This window comes from Homo sapiens, chromosome 7, assembly GCF_000001405.40.
Source record: "Homo sapiens chromosome 7, GRCh38.p14 Primary Assembly".
Classification (NCBI taxonomy): domain Eukaryota; kingdom Metazoa; phylum Chordata; class Mammalia; order Primates; family Hominidae; genus Homo; species Homo sapiens.
Genome location: NC_000007.14, coordinates 88,020,276 through 88,038,480, shown reverse-complemented (window position 1 = coordinate 88,038,480; position 18,205 = coordinate 88,020,276). Strand labels below are relative to the sequence as shown.

At 38.7% G+C, this 18,205-nt stretch overlaps 1 protein-coding gene across 32 annotated transcripts in view, besides 1 other annotated feature; it reads right to left on the bottom strand.

Annotated features, from left to right (window-relative positions):
* ADAM22 (ADAM metallopeptidase domain 22) overlaps positions 1 to 18,205 on the bottom strand; it is a 268,639-nt gene that overhangs the window by 164,409 nt on the left and 86,025 nt on the right. The window lies entirely within an intron of this gene.
* Positions 3,839 to 4,339: an enhancer, noted in NCBI's record as "H3K27ac hESC enhancer chr7:87663457-87663957 (GRCh37/hg19 assembly coordinates)". NCBI's record gives its function as "activates a minimal SCP1, AML or CMV promoter by ChIP-STARR-seq in naive H9 embryonic stem cells {active_cell/tissue: H9 hESC(naive)}" and the evidence as "EXISTENCE:reporter gene assay evidence [ECO:0000049][PMID:30033119]".

Here is an 18,205-nt window from a genome sequence, read left to right as displayed (position 1 = left end):
TCCGTCTCAAAAGAAAAAAAAAAAAAAAAGAATAGCAGAGATGTATCATTCTGTTTATGTGACTTTTTTTTTAGAGCGTGCTTATATTTGGATGCTCCAGTCTAAGTTTAAATCCAGGGATTTTGTAGTTCATAAGGCAGTGAATATGTCTGACAACCATAAGCCAAAACATTCTAAAATTTACACTATATGTAATAAATTTAGCTCATTGCTAATTTTTAATACCTTTCTATCCTAAGTCAAAATAAGCCAATTATTCCTGAAACTTATCACTTCATAGTCTACATTCTCTCCCATAGAATAGATGGAGTATACTTATCTATCCACAGGACATGGAGAATGCTAAAAGTCACACTTGTCAGGAACTGAGCTAGGTCCTAGAGACACACAAAAAATTACAAGATGTTGTCTGGTTTCCCAACACTTACAATCAAGTAGCTCATAACTCCTGAATATTTCTATGCTGGCTGAGATATATCACTATGTCCATGGGGTACAAAAAACTGCTTATGAGATACAAGTTCAGAATTAAACCCATTATCTTTGGTTTATCAAGCTGTACAACAGGCATTTAAGACTCTCTGAATATTGGCACAAAGTTTCCCACTGAAAGTCTTAAAGAGATAGTACATATGGCTATATTATCACAGAAAATGAAAGTGATCTAGTTTTATGAAAAACTCCCAGGAGAGAAAGTGAGTGTGTGTATAAGGTATAGAAAGCCGGTATAATTGTACAAAATCTTCTTGTGAAGGGAAAGATGGTGAGGATGTTATCAAACATCATTCTTCATTGACCACAGCAGGGTTTAAAGGTTAACATACAGATACAGTTATGAAATAAGCTCTTATCCATAGGCAAAAAAAAATAAAAATAAAAATAAAAAAATAAAACACATCAAGGCAGACCTAATGGAAATTAGGTAGCAGGCCAACCTATGGGAAATTGGACAGCAGGCAGACTTAATGAAAATTAGACAACAGGGTGAAAAAATCAATATATGTCCTCTCATCTTTCCCTTTTATTTCTTGCATATGTAAATCTAGGCTTTAGATTTTCATTTTTTTCTCTATCATGTGAAACAGAAAAAATGGAGATAATTTTGTAGAACGCATAAGATAGGTCCAATGAAGAATAAGAATTAAAATTACATTAAGAAAAAATTGAATTTTTAAGAGCTTTAATTTAAAATAAACTATCAAAACATCATCGTTAAATATTTCCAGATGTCAAAAACATCTCAAATCCACTAGAAAACTGGGCTATAAAAAATGTATCTACCCTTTGATCTACTAATTCCATTACTTAGAATTTTTCTCAAAGAAAGAATCCCAGAAGAGAGGCTCTACTGCGCAAATATGTTCATAATAGCATCATTTATAGAGTTCAAGACTGAAAATAACATAAATGTCCAATGAAATTTTCAATTCTTTTGCATATTATGGAACATCAGCAAATATGTAGCCATAAATGAATGTGGAATACATGGAAATGTTTATGACAGATGTTAAATGGAGAGGGAAGACTACAAATTCTACCTAAGTATGATCACAATGACATGACATAAAATATATATATATTCTCATTGGGAAAGGAAAAGAAAGAAAAGAAGGAAAAGCCAACTGTTTTCTTCAAATGGTAAGATTACATAGGAGGAGGCTCTCTTTTTCTTTTTATTTCTGTTTTTGTTATAAATTGCAGTCACTGTACAAAATAACACTCAAAAATTGGTGAATGAATCAGAAGAGTTTTCATTTTATTCTAATTCACAACTTTCTCACAGACTGGGCAGCAAGGAAGGATAAGGGAGAACAGTTAATTAAAATAAAAATAAACTAAGTATGGGCTCAATGTATCCAGAGGTTTTATATCAAAGGGGAAACAGATACAGTACTGTATTCCAGTGAAGTGCTAAAGTAAGGAAACTTCCTTATATCTGTGCTGTTATACTGTTAACGTATTATTAATGATTGCCAAACATTACAAATGGTAATAAATGTGGTGATAAAATGGGTTGCTATATTAAAAATACAATTGTGAAAAATATTTTACATCTTTACTCCCTTTCATGTCCATCCCCAGCCCTCATTAGAATGCTGCAACAGAAGAAAGATATTATATTTTTCCATCAAAAGAATTAAGCAAATAAAAACATTCACACTAGAGGATTTCTGAACTTTGGGAGGGGCAATAAACCTTGCATCAATTACAACTCTGGGTTATTTTCTTTCTTTAGTGAAGGTTTTGGTAATTTCCAAAAGAAAAATGAAGGATTATATAGAAAAATAAGCAGTGAAAGCCTATTGTGTTTTAAATACCCATGCAGAGATTATTTCCAAATGTGTGAGTAGCATAAAAAGTACTGTGATACTTATTTTTCATTTGCATTTATATTTAATTTTGCCAGCTAGTCGGTGACTTAAAAGCTTTCTGCAACAATAAAGATTATGTGATGATTACATGTAAGTATTATCTACTTGACTTTCTTCTACACAAAGACCAAGAACATGTGGAAATTAAACAGATCCATATTTTTCCTGACTTTGCCTGTGCTTTTACTGCTAGAAAAAGAAGTTTAATCCATAGCTTATGAAACTCAGAAGACAGCACTCTAGTTACTAATTTGGTAGCAGTATTTTCTGACACGACTAAAATCATCCCTTGGTATCCTTGGGGAATTGGTTCCAGGACCCTGAGCAGATACCAAAATCCATGGATACTCAAGTCTGTTATATAAAATGGTGTGGTATTTGCATACAGCCTATGCATTACTCTGGTCATCTCTAGATTACTTATAATATCTAATACAACATGAATGCTACGTAAATTGTTGTAATACTGTATTGTTTAGAGAATAATAACAAGAACAAAATCAATACATGTTCAGAACAGATGCAACCATCCAATTTTTAAAAAAATACTTTTGATCCACGGTTGGTTGAATCTATGAATATGGAACCCACAGATGTGGAGGTCCAACTGTATACATAATACATTGTGCTGGAAATCTGCTGTCTACACCAGCCCAGCAACCTTATCTGCTTACTCTGATAATACTATCCCCACCCCTTCCCTTGGGGGAAGGCTCCACTGTTCCATAAATGGACTGCTAAATGTGGGATAAGCTGCTGGTATAGCAATTGACACAACTGGATCTAGGGCCCAAGCCAAGGCAACAAACTCCTTTCTCTTGGATTTGTATATATTAATAAGTGAAAAGAAAGTTTTCCTTCCTACAGTGTTTGCTGCCTAGAGTATAACAAGTCTTGACCTTTCGGTGACCATAATCTGTTTCTTGGCATGAAGAAAAACCATATTAGGAGAACGAGGCAAACACAAACTCAAGTAGAATCAAGAAATAAAGGAGCAAGAGAATGAGGCAGGGCAAGATGGCCAAATAGAAGCTTCCACAGGTCATCCTCTCTGCAGGAACACCAAATTTACCAGCTATCTACACAGAAAAACACTTACATAAGAACCAAGAATCAGGTGAGAGATCAGTAAATAGTTTAAACTTCTAATCACTGAAACAGGCACTGAAGACAGTAGGAAAGACAGTCTTCAATTGCCAACAGCAACCCTTCCCCACACCCCAGCAGCAGCCTCATGGCACAGAGAGAGAAACTGTGCACTTAGGCAAGGGAGAGCACAGCAATTGTGGGACTTTGCGTTGGAATTCAGTGCTGCAACACCAGACAGAACTCAGCTGATGCCCACAGAAGGAGCATTTAAATGAGCCCTAGCCAAAGGGGAATCGACCATCCTAGTGGTCAGAACTTGAGTTTGGCAAGCCTCACTACCTGAGGCTAAAGTGCTTCGGTGCCCTAAATAAACCTGAAAGACAGTCTAAGCCATAAGGACTGCAACTCCTAAGCAAGTCCTAGTGCTGTGCTGGGCTTAGGGGACTTGGGGGCACTCAAGTTACTGAGACACGAGCTGAGGTATCTAAGGGAGTGCCTGTACCACACCTCCCCCAGTCCCTGGCAGCACAGCTTGCAGCTCCAAAAAAGACTTCTTCCTTCTGCTTCAAGAGAGGACAGGGAAGAGTAATGAAGACATCGTTTTGCAACTTGGATACCAGCTCAGCCACAGCAGAATATGGCACTGGGAAGAGTCGTGAGGCCCTCATTCCAGGGCCCAGCTCCCAGGCATTTCTAGACACACGCTATCCCAAAAAGGAAGCCACTACCTTAAAGGGAAGGACCAACTTCTGGCAGGATTCATCACCTGCTAAATATAGAGCCTTTGGGCCCTGAATAATCGGCAGCAGTAGCCAAGCAGTACATGCCGTGGGCCTGGGGTGAGACTCTGAGATGTGCTGACTTCACTAGCACATTCCCAGCTATGGTGGCCACAAGGAGGGACTCCATCTGCTTGAGAAAAGCAGAGGGAAGAGTAAAGGGGGCTTTGTCTTGCACCTTAGGTACCAGTTTGGCCACACTGGGGTGGAGCACCAAGCAGGTTCTTGAAGTACTAGGTCCCAGGCTTTGGCTCCTGGAAGGCATTTCTGGATCTGCTCTGGGCCAGAGGGGAGCTCACTGCCCTTAACAGTGAGCTCCAGGCCTAGAAGCATTCACTACAAACTGACTGAAGAGCCCCTGGGCCTTAAGTAAACATTAGTGGTAGCCTGGCAGTACTCCACGTGGGCCTGTGGGGTGGTGGACACAGGGAGAGAATCCTCTGCCTGTGGAAAGGCAAGAGTAGAAAGGATTTTGTCTTGTGGCTTGGACGCCAGCTCAGCTACAGAAGAATGGAGCACCAGGTAGATTTCTAAGGTTTCTGACTCCAGGTCCTGATCTCCAGATGGTATCTCTGGACCCACCCAAAGCCTGGGGAATCCCATTGCCCTGTAGGGAAGAACAAAGGCCTGGCTGGCTTTGCCACCAGCTGATGGTAGACCCTTAGGGCCTTGAGCAAACATAGATGGTAGCAAGGCAGTGGTCACCACTGGCCTTGGGCAAGATGCAGTGCTATGTTAGCTCTGGGTCTGAACCACCACTGTGGTCCCAGTGATGGTGGCCACATGGGTGATTGTGTCACCCCGACACTCAGCCCCAGGCAGCCCAGCACAGAATGAGAGACTCTGTTTGATTGCCAGAAAGTAAGGGAAAAGAACAAGAGTCTCTGCCTGGATAAACAGAATTCTTCAGGATCTTATCCAAGACCACCAAGCTTACACCTCTACAAGTCTGCAAGAGCCATAGCATTACTGGGCTTGGGGTGTCCCCTAATGCAGATACAGCTGCAGCAACCAAAAATGTATATCACAACACCCAAGCTTCATACACCTGGAAAGCCTTCCCAAAGACAGGTACAAAGAAGCCCAGACTATGAAGACTACAGTAAATACCTAACTCTTCCACACCCAGAAACCAATGAACATCCATAAGCATCAAGACCAGCAAGACCAGAAAAACATGACTTAACCAAATGTATTAGTCCATTCTCACACTGCTATAAAGAACTACCTGAGAATGGGTAATTTATGTAGAAAAGAGGTTGGATCGGCTCACAGTTCTGCAGGGTGTACAGGCTTCTACTTCTGGGAAGGCCTCAGAAAATTCACAACCATGATGAAAAGCAAAAGAGAAATAAGCACATCTTCATATGGCTAGCAAGAGAGAGACAGGGAGCAAAGGGGGTGGTGTTACACACTTACAAACAACCAGATTTTGTGAGAACTGTATCATGAGACAGCCCTAAAGGGATGGTGTTAAACCATTACAATCCAATCACCTCCCACCAGACCGCACCTCCAACACTGGGAATTATAATTCAACATAAGATTTGGGTGAAAATACAGAGCCAAGCCATATCGTTCTGCCCCTGCCTCCCCCACCGAATCTCATGTCCTTTTCACATTTCAAAACACAGTAATGACTTCCTAACAGTCTCCCAAAGTCTTAACTCATTCCAGCATTAACTCAAAAGTCCAAGTCCAAAGTCACATCTGAGACAAGGCAGGTCCTTTCCACCTATGAGCCTGTAAAATCAAAAACAAGATAGTCACTTCCAAAACACAATGGAGGTATAGGCATTGGGTAAATGCTCCCTTTCCAAAAAGGAGAAATTGGCCAAAACCAAGGGGCTACAAGCCCCACGCAAGTCCAAAACCCAGCAGGGCAATCATTTAATGTCTTTTGACTCCATGTTTCATATCCAGGCCACACTGATGCAAAAAGTGGGCTCCCAAGTCCCTGAGCAGCTCCACCCCAGTTTTGCAGAATACAGACCCAATGGCCGCTTTCACAGGCTGGTGTTGAGTACCTGCAGCTTTTCCAGGTGCATGGTGCAAGTTGTCAGTGGATCTATCATTCTGGGGATTGGAGAATGGTGGCCTTCTTCTCAGAGCTCCACCAGGAGTGCCCCAATGTGTGGGGCTCTAACATCACATTTCCCCTCTGTACTGCCCTAGTAGAGGTTCTCCCTGAGGGCTCTGTCCCTGCAGTAGACTTCTGCCTGGACATCCAGGTATTTCTATACATCCTCTGAAATCTAGGCAGAGGCACCCAAGCCTCAACTCTTGCTCTCTGTGCACCCACAGGCCTAACACCATCTGGAAGGCTTGGCAGCTCCAGCTTGCACCCTCTGGAGCAGCAGCCTGAGATGTATCTGGGGCCCTTTTAGCCACAGCTGGAGCTGGAGTGGCTGGGACAGAGGGAGCAGTGTCCTGAGGTTGTGCAGGGCAGTGGGACCCTGGGCCTGGCCCATAAAATCATTCTTCCCTTCCAGGCCTCCAGGCCTGTGATGGGAGGGGCTGCCATGAAGGTCTCTGAAACACCTTCCAGGCATGCTCTGCTTCCCTTTTAAATATAAGTTCCAGGTTCAGATAATCTCTTTGTTCACACATCTGAGCATACATGGTAAGAAGAAGCCACATCTTGAATGCTTTGCTACTTAGAAATTTTGTCCACCAGATACCCTAAATCATCTCTTTCAAGTTCAAAGTTCAACTGATCCCTAGAGCAGGGGCATAGTGCCACCAGTCTCTGCTAAAGCAAAGCAAGAGTGACCTTTACTCCAGTCCCCAATAAGTTCCTCAACTCCATCTGAGACCACTTAAACCTGAACTTCATTGTCCATATCACTATCAGCATTTTGGTCACAACAATTTAACAAGTCTCTAGGAATTTCCAAACTTTCTCTCATCTTCCTCTCTTCTTCTGAACCTTCAAACTGCTCCATCCTCTGCCCACTACCCAGTTTTAAAGCTGCTTCCACATTTTCAGGTATCCTTATAGCAATACCCCACTCCTGGTACCAATTTTCTGTATTAGTCCATTCTCACATTACTATAAAGAACTGAGACTAGGTAATTTATACAGAAAAGAAGTTGGTTTTTTGTTTGTTTGTTTGTTTGTTTTTGAGACGGAGTCTTGCTCTGTCGCCCAGGCTGGAGTGCAGTGGCGCGATCTTGGTTCACTGCAAGCTCCGCCTCCCAGGTTCACGCCATTCTCCTGCCTCAGCCTCCTGAGTAGCTGGGACTACAGGTGCCCGCCACCACGCCCGGCTAATTTTTTGTATTTTTAGTAGAGATGGGGTTTCACTGTGTTAGCCAGGATGGTCTCAATCTCCTGACCTTGTGATCCGCCCACCTTGGCCTCCCAAAGTGCTGGGATTACAGGCATGAGCCACCGTGCCCGGCCGAGAGAAGAAGTTTAATCAGTTCATGGTTCTGCAGGCTGCACAGGCTTCTGCTTCGGGGGAGGCCTGAGGAAATTTACAATCATGGCGGAAGGCAAAGGGGAAACAAGCACATTTTCACTTGGCTGGCATGAGAGAGAGAGAGCAAAGAGGGAGGTGCTACACACTTTCAAACAACGAGATCTCATGAGACCTCTATCACAAGACAGCACTAGGTGGATGATGCTAACCATTAGAAACCAGCCACACAATCCAATAACCTCCCACCATGTACCACCTCCAAAATTAGGAATTACAATTCAACATGAGATTTGGGTGGAGACACAGAGCCAAGCCATATCACCAAATAATAAAATAAGGCACGAGGGACTTATCCCAGAGAGAGATATGTGACTTTTCAGACAGATTTCAAAAGGGCTGTTTTGAGTAAACTCAAAGAAATTAAGGATAACATAGAGAAAGAATTCAAAATTCTATCAGATACATTTAACAAAGACACTGAAATAATTTTAAAAATCAAGCAGAAATTCTGGAGTTGAAAATGCAATTAACACACTGAAGAATACATCAGAGTCTCTCAACAGCAGAATTAATCAAGCAGAAGAAATAAGTAGTGAGCTTGAAGATGGCTGTTTGTAAACATAATCAGAGGAGACAAATTTTTAAAAAAGGATAAAAAAGAATGAATCACACCTAGAAGATCTAGAAAACAACCTCAAAGGGGCAAATTAAATTAAAGAGTTTTTGGCATTAGATAGGAGGTAGAGATGAGGGCAGGTAGAAAGTTTATTCAAAGGGATAATAACAGAACTTCCCAATCCTAGAGAAAGATATCAATACTTAACTACAAGAAGATTACAGAACACCAAGAGACTTTAGCTCAAACAAGGCTACCTCAAGGTTTTTAATAATCAGACTCCCAAAGGTCAAGAAAAAAGAAAGGATCCTAAAAGTAGCAGGAGAAAAAAAACTACAATGAAGTTCCAATATGCCTGGCAGCAGATTTTTCCATGGAAATCTTATAGGCTAGAAGAGAGTGGCATGACATATTTAAAACTCTGAAAGAAAAAAAAAACTTTTACCCCAGAATAGTATATCCAGCAAAAATATCATTCATATATGAAGGAGAAATAAAGACATTCCCAGACAAACAAAAGTTGAGTGATTTCATCAACACCAGACCTGTCCTATAAGAAACACTAAACAAAGTTATTCAATCTGAAAGAAAAGGACATTAATGAGCAGCAAAAAATCATCTGAAGGTACAAAACTTATTGACAATAGTAAGTACACAGAAAAACACAGACTATTATAAGACTAATTTTGGTGTATAAACTACTCATATCTTACACAGAAAGACAAAAAGATGAACTGATTAAAAGTAATAATTACAATAACTTTTCAAGATACAGACAGTACAATAAAAAGTAGAAACAACAAAAGTTAAAAAGGGTGGACAAAATTAAAGTGCAGAGTTTATATTAGCTTTCTTTTGTGTATTTATGCAATCAGTGTTAAGTTGGCATCAGTTTAAAATAGTGGATTATATTATTTACAAGCCTAGTGGTAACCTCAAATTGAAAAACATATAACAAATACACAAAAAATAAAAAGCAAGAAATCAAAGCCTACCACCAGAGAAAATCACAGTGATTAAAAAGAAGACAGAAAGGAAGAAAAGACCATAAAACAACCAGAAAACAAATTTTAAAATAACAGAAATAAGCCCTTATTTATCAATAATAACATTGAATTTAAATGGACTGAACTCTCCAATCAAGACAGAGAATGAAACATCTCATATACCCAACAAATATATATACTGACTATGTATCCACAAAAAATAAAATTAAAAAAATTAAAATGGCATTGAGTGGCTTAATGGATAAAAAAACAAGACTCCACGTTCTATTGTCTATAAGACATATACTTCACCTATAAGGACACACATAGACTGAAAATAAAAGGATGGAAAAAGATATTCCATGCAAATACAAACTACAAGTGAGCAGGAGTAGCTATACTTATGTCAGACAAAATAGATTTCAAGACAAACACTACAAAAGAGACAAAGAAGGTCATTATATAATGAGAAAAGGGTCAATTCAGCAAGAATACATAACAATTAAAATATATACATATGTGTATATATATATATACACACACTCAACATTGGTGCACCCAGATATATTAAGAAATATATATTAGAGCTAAAGACAGAAACAGACCCCAATACAATAATAGCTGGAGATTTCAACACTCCACTTTCAGCATTAGACAGATCATCCAGACAGAAAATCAACAAGGAAACATCAGACTTAATCTGCATTATAGAACAAATGGACTTAATAGATATTTACAGAACATTTCATCCAATAGCTACAGAATACACATTCTTCTCCTCAGCACATGGATGATTCTCAAGAATAGACCATATATTAGGCCACAAAACAAGTCTTTAAAACATTCAAAAAAATGAAATTATACCAAATCTCTTCTCTGACCACAATGAAATCAAACTAGAAATCAATAACAAGAGGAATTTTGGAAACTATACAAACACATGGAAATTAAACAACATGCTCCTGAATGACGAGTAGGTCAATGAAGACGTAAAGAAGGAAATTTTAAAATTTCTTAAAATAAGTGACAATGGCAAGACAATACACCAAAACCTATGAGATACAGCAAAAGCAGTACTAAGGAGGGAAGCTCTTAGCTATAACTGCTTACATCAAAAAAGTAGAAAAAAGGCTGGACACAGTGGCTCATGCCTGTAATCCCACCACTTTGGGAAGCTGTGGCAGGCAGATCACTTGAGGTCAGGAGTTCGAGGCCAGCCAACATGGTGAAACCCTGCTTCTACTAAAAATACAAAATTAGCCGGATGTGGTGGCACATGCCTGTAACCCCAGCTACTCAGAAGGCCAAGGCAGGAGAATCACTTGAACCTGGGAGGTAGGGTTGCAGTGAGCCAAGATAATGCCTCTGGGCAACAGAGCAAGACTCTGTCTCAGAAAAAAAAAAAAAGGTAGAAAAGCTCAAATAAACAACCTAATGAAGCATCTTCACAACTAGAAAAGCAACAGCAAACCACATCCAAAGTTAGTACAAGAAAAGAAATAATAAAGATCAGAGCAGAAATAAATGAAATTGAAACAATACAAATAGTCATCAGAACAAAAGGTGTTTTTTTCTGAAAAGATAAACAAAATTGACAAATCTTTAGCCAGCCTAATGGGGGAAAAAAAAGAGAAAAGAGTCAATTGATCCTGCAGAAATTCAAAGGATAATTAGAGGCTACTATTTGCAACTATATGCCAAGAAATTGGAAAAGCTAGAAGAAATGGGTAAATTCCTATACACATACAACCTACCAAGATTGAACCATGAGGAAATCCAAAACCTGAACAGAGTAATAACAAGTAAAGAGATCAAAACTGTAATTAAAAAGTCTCTCAGCAAAAACAAAGGCTGCAAGCTTAAGGCTTCACGGCTGAATTTTACTAAACATCTAAAGAAGTACTAACACCAATCTTACGGAAACTATTCCAAATAATGGTGGAGGAGGGAATGCTTCCAAACTCATTCTACAAAGCCAGTATTACCCTGATACTAAAGCCAGACAAAAATGTGTCAAAAAAAGAAAAATACAGGCCAACGTCCCTGATGAACATTGAGGCAGAATTCCTCAACAAAATACTAGCAAACCAAATTCAACAATACATTAAAAAGGTCATTCATCACAACCAAGTAGGATTCATCCCAGGGATGCAAGGATGGCCCAACATACACAAATCAATCAATGTGATGCATCATATTAACAGAATGTTGAAGAAAATTCATATGATCATTTCATTTGATGCTGAAATGAAAAGCATTTCCTAAAATTCAACACCCTTTCATGACAAAAAGCCCTCAAAAAACTGGCTATAGAAGAAACAAACCACAACATGATAGAAGCCATAACAACAGACCCACAGTTAGTACCATACTGAATGGAAAAAAACTGAAAGACCTTCCTCTAAGATTGGGAACACAACACAATGGATGCCCAATTTCATCACTATTATTCAACATAGTACTGGAAGACCTAGCTAGAGCAATCAGACAAGAGAAATTAAAAACAGCAACCAAATTGGAAAGGGAGAAGTCAAATTATCCTTGTGTGCAGATTATATAATCTTGTATTTGGAAAAACCTGAAGATTCCACCAAAAAATATTAGAACTAATAAATTCAGTCATATTGCAGGATATAAAAACAACATACAAAAATCAGTAGCATTTCTACATGCTAATATGGTTTGAATCTGTGTCTCCACTCAAATCTCATGTCAATTTGTAATTCCCAGTGTTGAAGGTGGGGTCTAGTGGGAAGTGACTGTATCATCGGGGTGGAATTCTCATGAATGGGTTAGCACCGCCCCTTCAGTCCTGTTTTCATGATAGTGGGTAAATAAGTTATTGTGACATCTCGTTGTTAAAAGTATGTGGCACCTCTCCCTTCTCTGTTGGTCCTGCTCCTGCCATGTCAAATGCCTGCTCCCACTTTGCCTTCTGCCATGAGTAAAAGTTCCCTGAGGTCTCCCCAGAAGCAGATGATGCCATGCTTCTGTACAGTTTGTGGAACCATGTGCCAATGAACCCTCTTTTCTTTATAAATTATCCAGTCTGTGCTAACACACATGCTAACAGCAATTACTGAAAAAGGAATCAAGAAAGTAATCCAATTTATAGTAGATACTTATAAAATTAAATAGCTAGGAATTAACCAAAGAAACTAAAGATCTCTACAATAAAAAGTATAAAACATTTGTCAAAGAAATTGAAGAGGACACACACACAAAAAATGAAAAGATATTGTTAAAATGACCATAATACCCAAAGCAATATACAGATTCAATGCAATCCTTACTAAATACCAATGACATTCTTCACAGAAATAGTAAAAACAATCCTAAAATTTATGTGGAACCACAAAAGACCCTGAATAGCCAAAATTATGTTGAGTAAAAAGAACAAAACTGAAGAAATCATATTACCTGTCTTCAAAATATTCTTCAGAGCTATAGTAACCAAAACAGCATGGTACTGGCATAAAAACAGACAAATAGACCAATGTAAAAAAATAGAGAACCAAGAAACAAATCCATACATCTACAACGAACTTATTTTCAACAAAGGTGCCAAGAATATACATTGGGGAAAAGATAGTTTCTTCAATAAATGGTGCTGGGAAAACTGGATATCCATATAGAGGAATGAAACGAGACCCCTATCTCTTGCCATATACAAAAATCAAATCAAAATGGATTGAAGACTCAAATCTAAGACCTTAAACTCTGAAACTACTAAAACAAAATATTAGAGAATCTCTCCAGGATATCAGAGTGAGCAATACCAGTAATACCCCACACGCACAGGCAACCAAAGCAAAAATGGACAAATGGGATCACATTAAGTTAAAAAGCTTCTGCACAGCAAAGAAAACAATCAACAAAGTGAAGAGGTAATGCACAGAATGGGAAAAAATATTTGCAAATTAACCATCTGACAAAGGATTAATAACCAGAATACACAAGGAGCTCAAACAACTCAATAAGAAAAATCCTCAGGGAACAACAGGTGCTGGAGAGGATGTGGAGAAATAGGAACACTTTTACACTGTTGGTGGGACTGTAAACTAGTTCAACCATTGTGGAAGTCAGTGTGGCAATTCCTCAGGGATCTAGAACTAGAAATACCATTTGACCCAGCCATCCCATTACTGGGTATATACCCAAAAGATTATAAATCATGCTGCTATAAAGACACATGCACACGTATGTTTATTGCGGCACTATTCACAATAGCAAAGAATTGGAACCAACCCAAATGTCCAACAATGATAGACTGGATTAAGGAAATATGGCACATATACACCATGGAATACTATGTAGCCATAAAAAATGATGAGTTCATGTCCTTTGTAGGGACATGGATGAAGGTGGTAACCATCATTCTCAGCAAACTATCGCAAGGACAAAAAACCAAACACTGCATGTTCTCGCTCATAGGTGGGAATTGAACAATGAGAACACATGGACACAGGAAGGGGAACATCATGCACTGGGGTCTGTTGTGAGGTGGGGGGAGGGGGGAGGGATAGCATTAGGAGATTTACCTAATGTTAAATGATGAGTTAATGGGTGCAGCACACCAACATGGCGTATGTATACATATGTAACAAGCCTGCACGTTGTGCACATGTACCCTAAAACTTAAAGTATAATTTAAAAAAAAGAAAGAAAAATCCAATAATTTAATTAAAATATTGGCAAAAATATCTGAATATACATTTATCCAAAGAAGACATACAAATGGCAAACAGGCATATGAAAAAGTGTTCAGCATCATTAATCATGAGAGAAATGAAAGTCAAAACTACAATGAGGTATCATCTCACCCCAGTTAAAATGGCTTATATCCAAAAGTTAGGCAATAACAAATGCTGGTGAGGATGTAGAGAAAAGGCAACCTGCATACAATGTTGGTGGGAATGTAAATTAGTATGACCACTATGGAGAACAGTTTGGAGGTTCCTCAAAACACTAAAAATAGAGCTACCATATGATCCAGAAATCCCATTGTTAGGTATATAGTCAAAAGAAAGGAAGTCGGTATAACAGACATCTGTACTTCCATGTTTATGGAAGCAGTATTCCCAATAGCCAAGATTTGGAAGCAATCTAAGTGTCCAACCACAGATGAATGGATAAAGAAAATATGGTATATATATAGCAAGGAGTACTATTCAGCCATAAAAAAGAATGATATTTTTTCATTTGCAATAACGTGGATGAAACTGGAGATCATTATGTTAAGAGAAATAAGCCAGACACAGGAAGAGCAACTTCACATGTTCTCACTTATTTGTGGGATTTAAAAATTAAAACAATTTAACTCATAGAGATAGAGAGCAGAATAATGGTTACCAGAGGCTGGGAGGGGTAACAGGAGGGTAGGGGGGAAGTGGGGGTAGCTAAGGAGTACCAAAAAATGGGTAGAAAAATCAATAAAATCTAATATTTGATAGCACAACAGGGTTACTATAGTCAATAACAATTTAATTGTATATTTTAAAATAACTAAGCCGGGGGCAGTGGCTCATGCCTGTCATCCCAGCACTTTGGGAGGCTGAGGTAGGCGGGGTGTTTGAGACCAGCCTGATCCGCATGGCAAAACCCAGTCTCTACTAAAAATGCAAAAATTAGCCAGGTGTGGTGGCTCATGCCTGTAATCCCAGCTACTCAGGAGATTGAGGCAGGAGAATCACTTGAACCTGGGAGGTGGAGGTTGCAATGAGCTGAGATCATGCCATTGCATTCCAGCCTGGGCAATGGAGCAAGACTCCATCTCTAAATAAATAAATAAAAGACTATAATTGGATTGTTTGTAACACAAAGGATAAATGCTTGAGGTGACAGATATCCCATTTACCCTGATATGGTTATTACACATTGTATGCCTGTATCAAAGTATTTCATATAATCCTTGAATATATACACCTACTATGTACCCAGAAATTAAAAACAATATCAATAAATAAATATAAAGAGATCTGATATAACTGAGATCCTAGATTCAGGCATACCTGAGGCCAGTTCCACTTCCATTGTTCTGAATATAATCCATCTAAACAATCTTTCATTAAAACGAAGGAAGAAAAGAATGAAGAGAAGACCACGAAACAACCAGAAAACAAAAATCAGTAAATTCATTATTTTGGTTAAGTCAGGTTTCAGATACTTATAAACAAAGAGTCCTAAGCAAAAGAAAAGTGAAATAAGTAAAAGTAATGAATCGATGTATCTAATCTAGTCTAGCAATGTTTTACAAAGTGCAGCAAGAGTTATATTGCTCCACTAATAGTTTCAATAGTTTGTGTGTGCCTTTTGAAAGAGAAAAGAAAAATCTTTTAAATGCTGCTACAATATCATTTATTGAACTTACCTAGTGATGGTTAATATAAAGTTATAGTTTTTTTCTCAGAAAAATATTTGGCCAGAAGACAGAGTATATAAATATAAAGCCGGAATAAAAACTATGGCAAACATTTAAAATCATCCTATGTAAAAGAATAATTTTATGATGAAATCAGAGGAAGTCTTAAATATGAGTGTAGTAGTTTAATTCACGAACTCTACTTACTGATATGAAAAAAATTAAATTTCATACACCAAAACAGATCATAAAATTTCCAGACAATTTTCTCTAGAAAAACAGAATGGTATGCACCTTTTTTCATTAACCCAAATCCTCTTTCCTATTACTTAAACTAAACACTGTTCTCTTGGTAAAATCCAATTGAAACAATCTGATTGAATATAAATCATCTTATTAACTGGTCATAGTGGAATTTCTTGACCAAAATCTCACTGTTTTATATGATAAGAATCATTTAGCACATATTAGTCCACCAAAACATTGAATTTTAGTTTGCAAGTTACTGAGAACATTTGAATTGCAATGTCATGAACCATCTGGTATCATTCCCTCTGTCTGGCCTACTGAACTCTAAGAAAGCAGAGGTCACATTAATAGGTAAGTGATGGTTAAGTAATAGCTAATTAATAGTTAAGTAATAGTTAAGTGTAATGAGGCCAAGAGTGGTGGTTCATGCCTGTAATCCTAGCACTTTGGGAGGCTGAGGCAGGAGGATCACTTGAGGTTAGGGGTTTGAGACCAGTCTGAGCAACAGAGTGAGACTCCATCTCTACAAAAAAAAAATAAAAATAAAAATAAAAAATTTTTTAATTAGCCAGGCATGGTGGTACATGTCTGTAGTCCTCAACATTCGGGAGGCGGAAATGGGAGGATCACTTGAGCCCTGGAGTTCAAGGCTGCAGTGAGCTTTGGTCATACCACTGCACCCCAGCCTGAGCGACAGAGCGAGACCCTGTCTCAAAAAGAAAAAAAAAAAATGTAATGAGAGAAGGAAGAAATTCCAAATGAATTAAACTTTATACCATTGTCTCTGAGTCTTTTATGACTCGAAAACCTCTATCAGAATTTCCTGAAAGTCATGGCTCCACTCTCCTGAAAAATGCACAAGTACACATACATAATATTTTGAATACAATTTCAGTCATTCCTGAAATTCAGCATCCATTCATGATCAGTGGGTCTGGAAACTGTGCTTTAGAACCACTGAAAAGTCCATTGAAGAAAAAATGCTATAATTACTTGTCTGAAAACAGCCAATATATTTTTACATGTTTTATTTCTGAGCCAGATCGCTAATAGAAAACATAAGGCAATAACACAAAAACTTAACCTATTTATTATTTTTAAGGACAAAATGGAGTATACAAAGTGTCCAGAATTCAGAAACAGGATATGTGTCATATTGTCTTTTGTGACCCTCAGCAAACCTTTGGCACATACCGGGGTTTCTTCCCAGCAAAAAGGTTTGCTTTAGGCAAATTTAAAACTCTGTAAAAATAATCCCCACTCCTCAGTTTACTTACAAAATAACAAGAGTGGATTAAGGTCTCTGGAAGGCTCTGGTGAAATGGTTGCTTTTGCAGAGGAGAACTAGGTGCCAAGGTAGGAAAGAGCCTCACATACTTCTTTTATGCTAGGAATTTCCATTTCCTTGTGATTCACTTGCCACACTGCCCTGTGCCCCAAGAGGCTGACCTTTATGGTTCATAGCAAAGAGTTCCCTGCCTTCTGGTTTCTGGTAAGACTGGATGATGGAAGGCAGGACAGAAGATAAGAGGAGAAAAATTAGTGAAGACAAAGTATTTATTTCCTGGCTCTCTTGAACATGGTCCCCTGGAGTTGGCTGTCTCTCCAAAGAAGATTGTGGTTCCTCTCAGGGGTTTCTGACTCTAGAGTAAAATTCACTCCCTAAATTCCAGAACTCACCCCTTAAGTTCCAGTACCCACTCCCTCTCCTCATCCCCAACTAGGGTACTAAAAGCCAGGTTTCTGCATTATCCATTGGGGTTCTCTTACCCCCATGCTTTTGTAAATGGTCTCACTGAAAATAAACTTTCCTGGAATAATCCTATTTTGAATTACATAGTATGTGAATACAAAATACATAAAATTTAAAATTCTAAAAATATATGTTATCCTGGCACAAATAATCTGCTGATCTCAGGGACTGCCTGGGCCTATTCCACCGCGATGCAGTGGAAGAGGTCAAAGGTTTAATGAGCATTCACCTGGTGGAATTTCAGAAGTGGTACTGTCAGGGTGCCTTGGAATAGTGAAGGAAGAAGTACAGCCAAAGTCGATACACATTGGAGGAAACAAACCAAGACAAAAGTTGCCTCTGCTCTCCCAGTGAAAGCCCAGAAGTACAAATCACAAAACCCATCCCCTTGGCAAATATGCATCCTCCTCCAAGCATGGAGAACCCCCTGTGGAGTATTGTCACATGATTGTGGCACCAGCCCTCCCTTCTCAACAAACCACAGGCAAAGCGACTTAAAAACCCATTTTGTTAGGCCTTAGCCAACCAATCCCAAATTACAATGGAAAGAGATGGTGGTTCTGGCCTGAATGAGG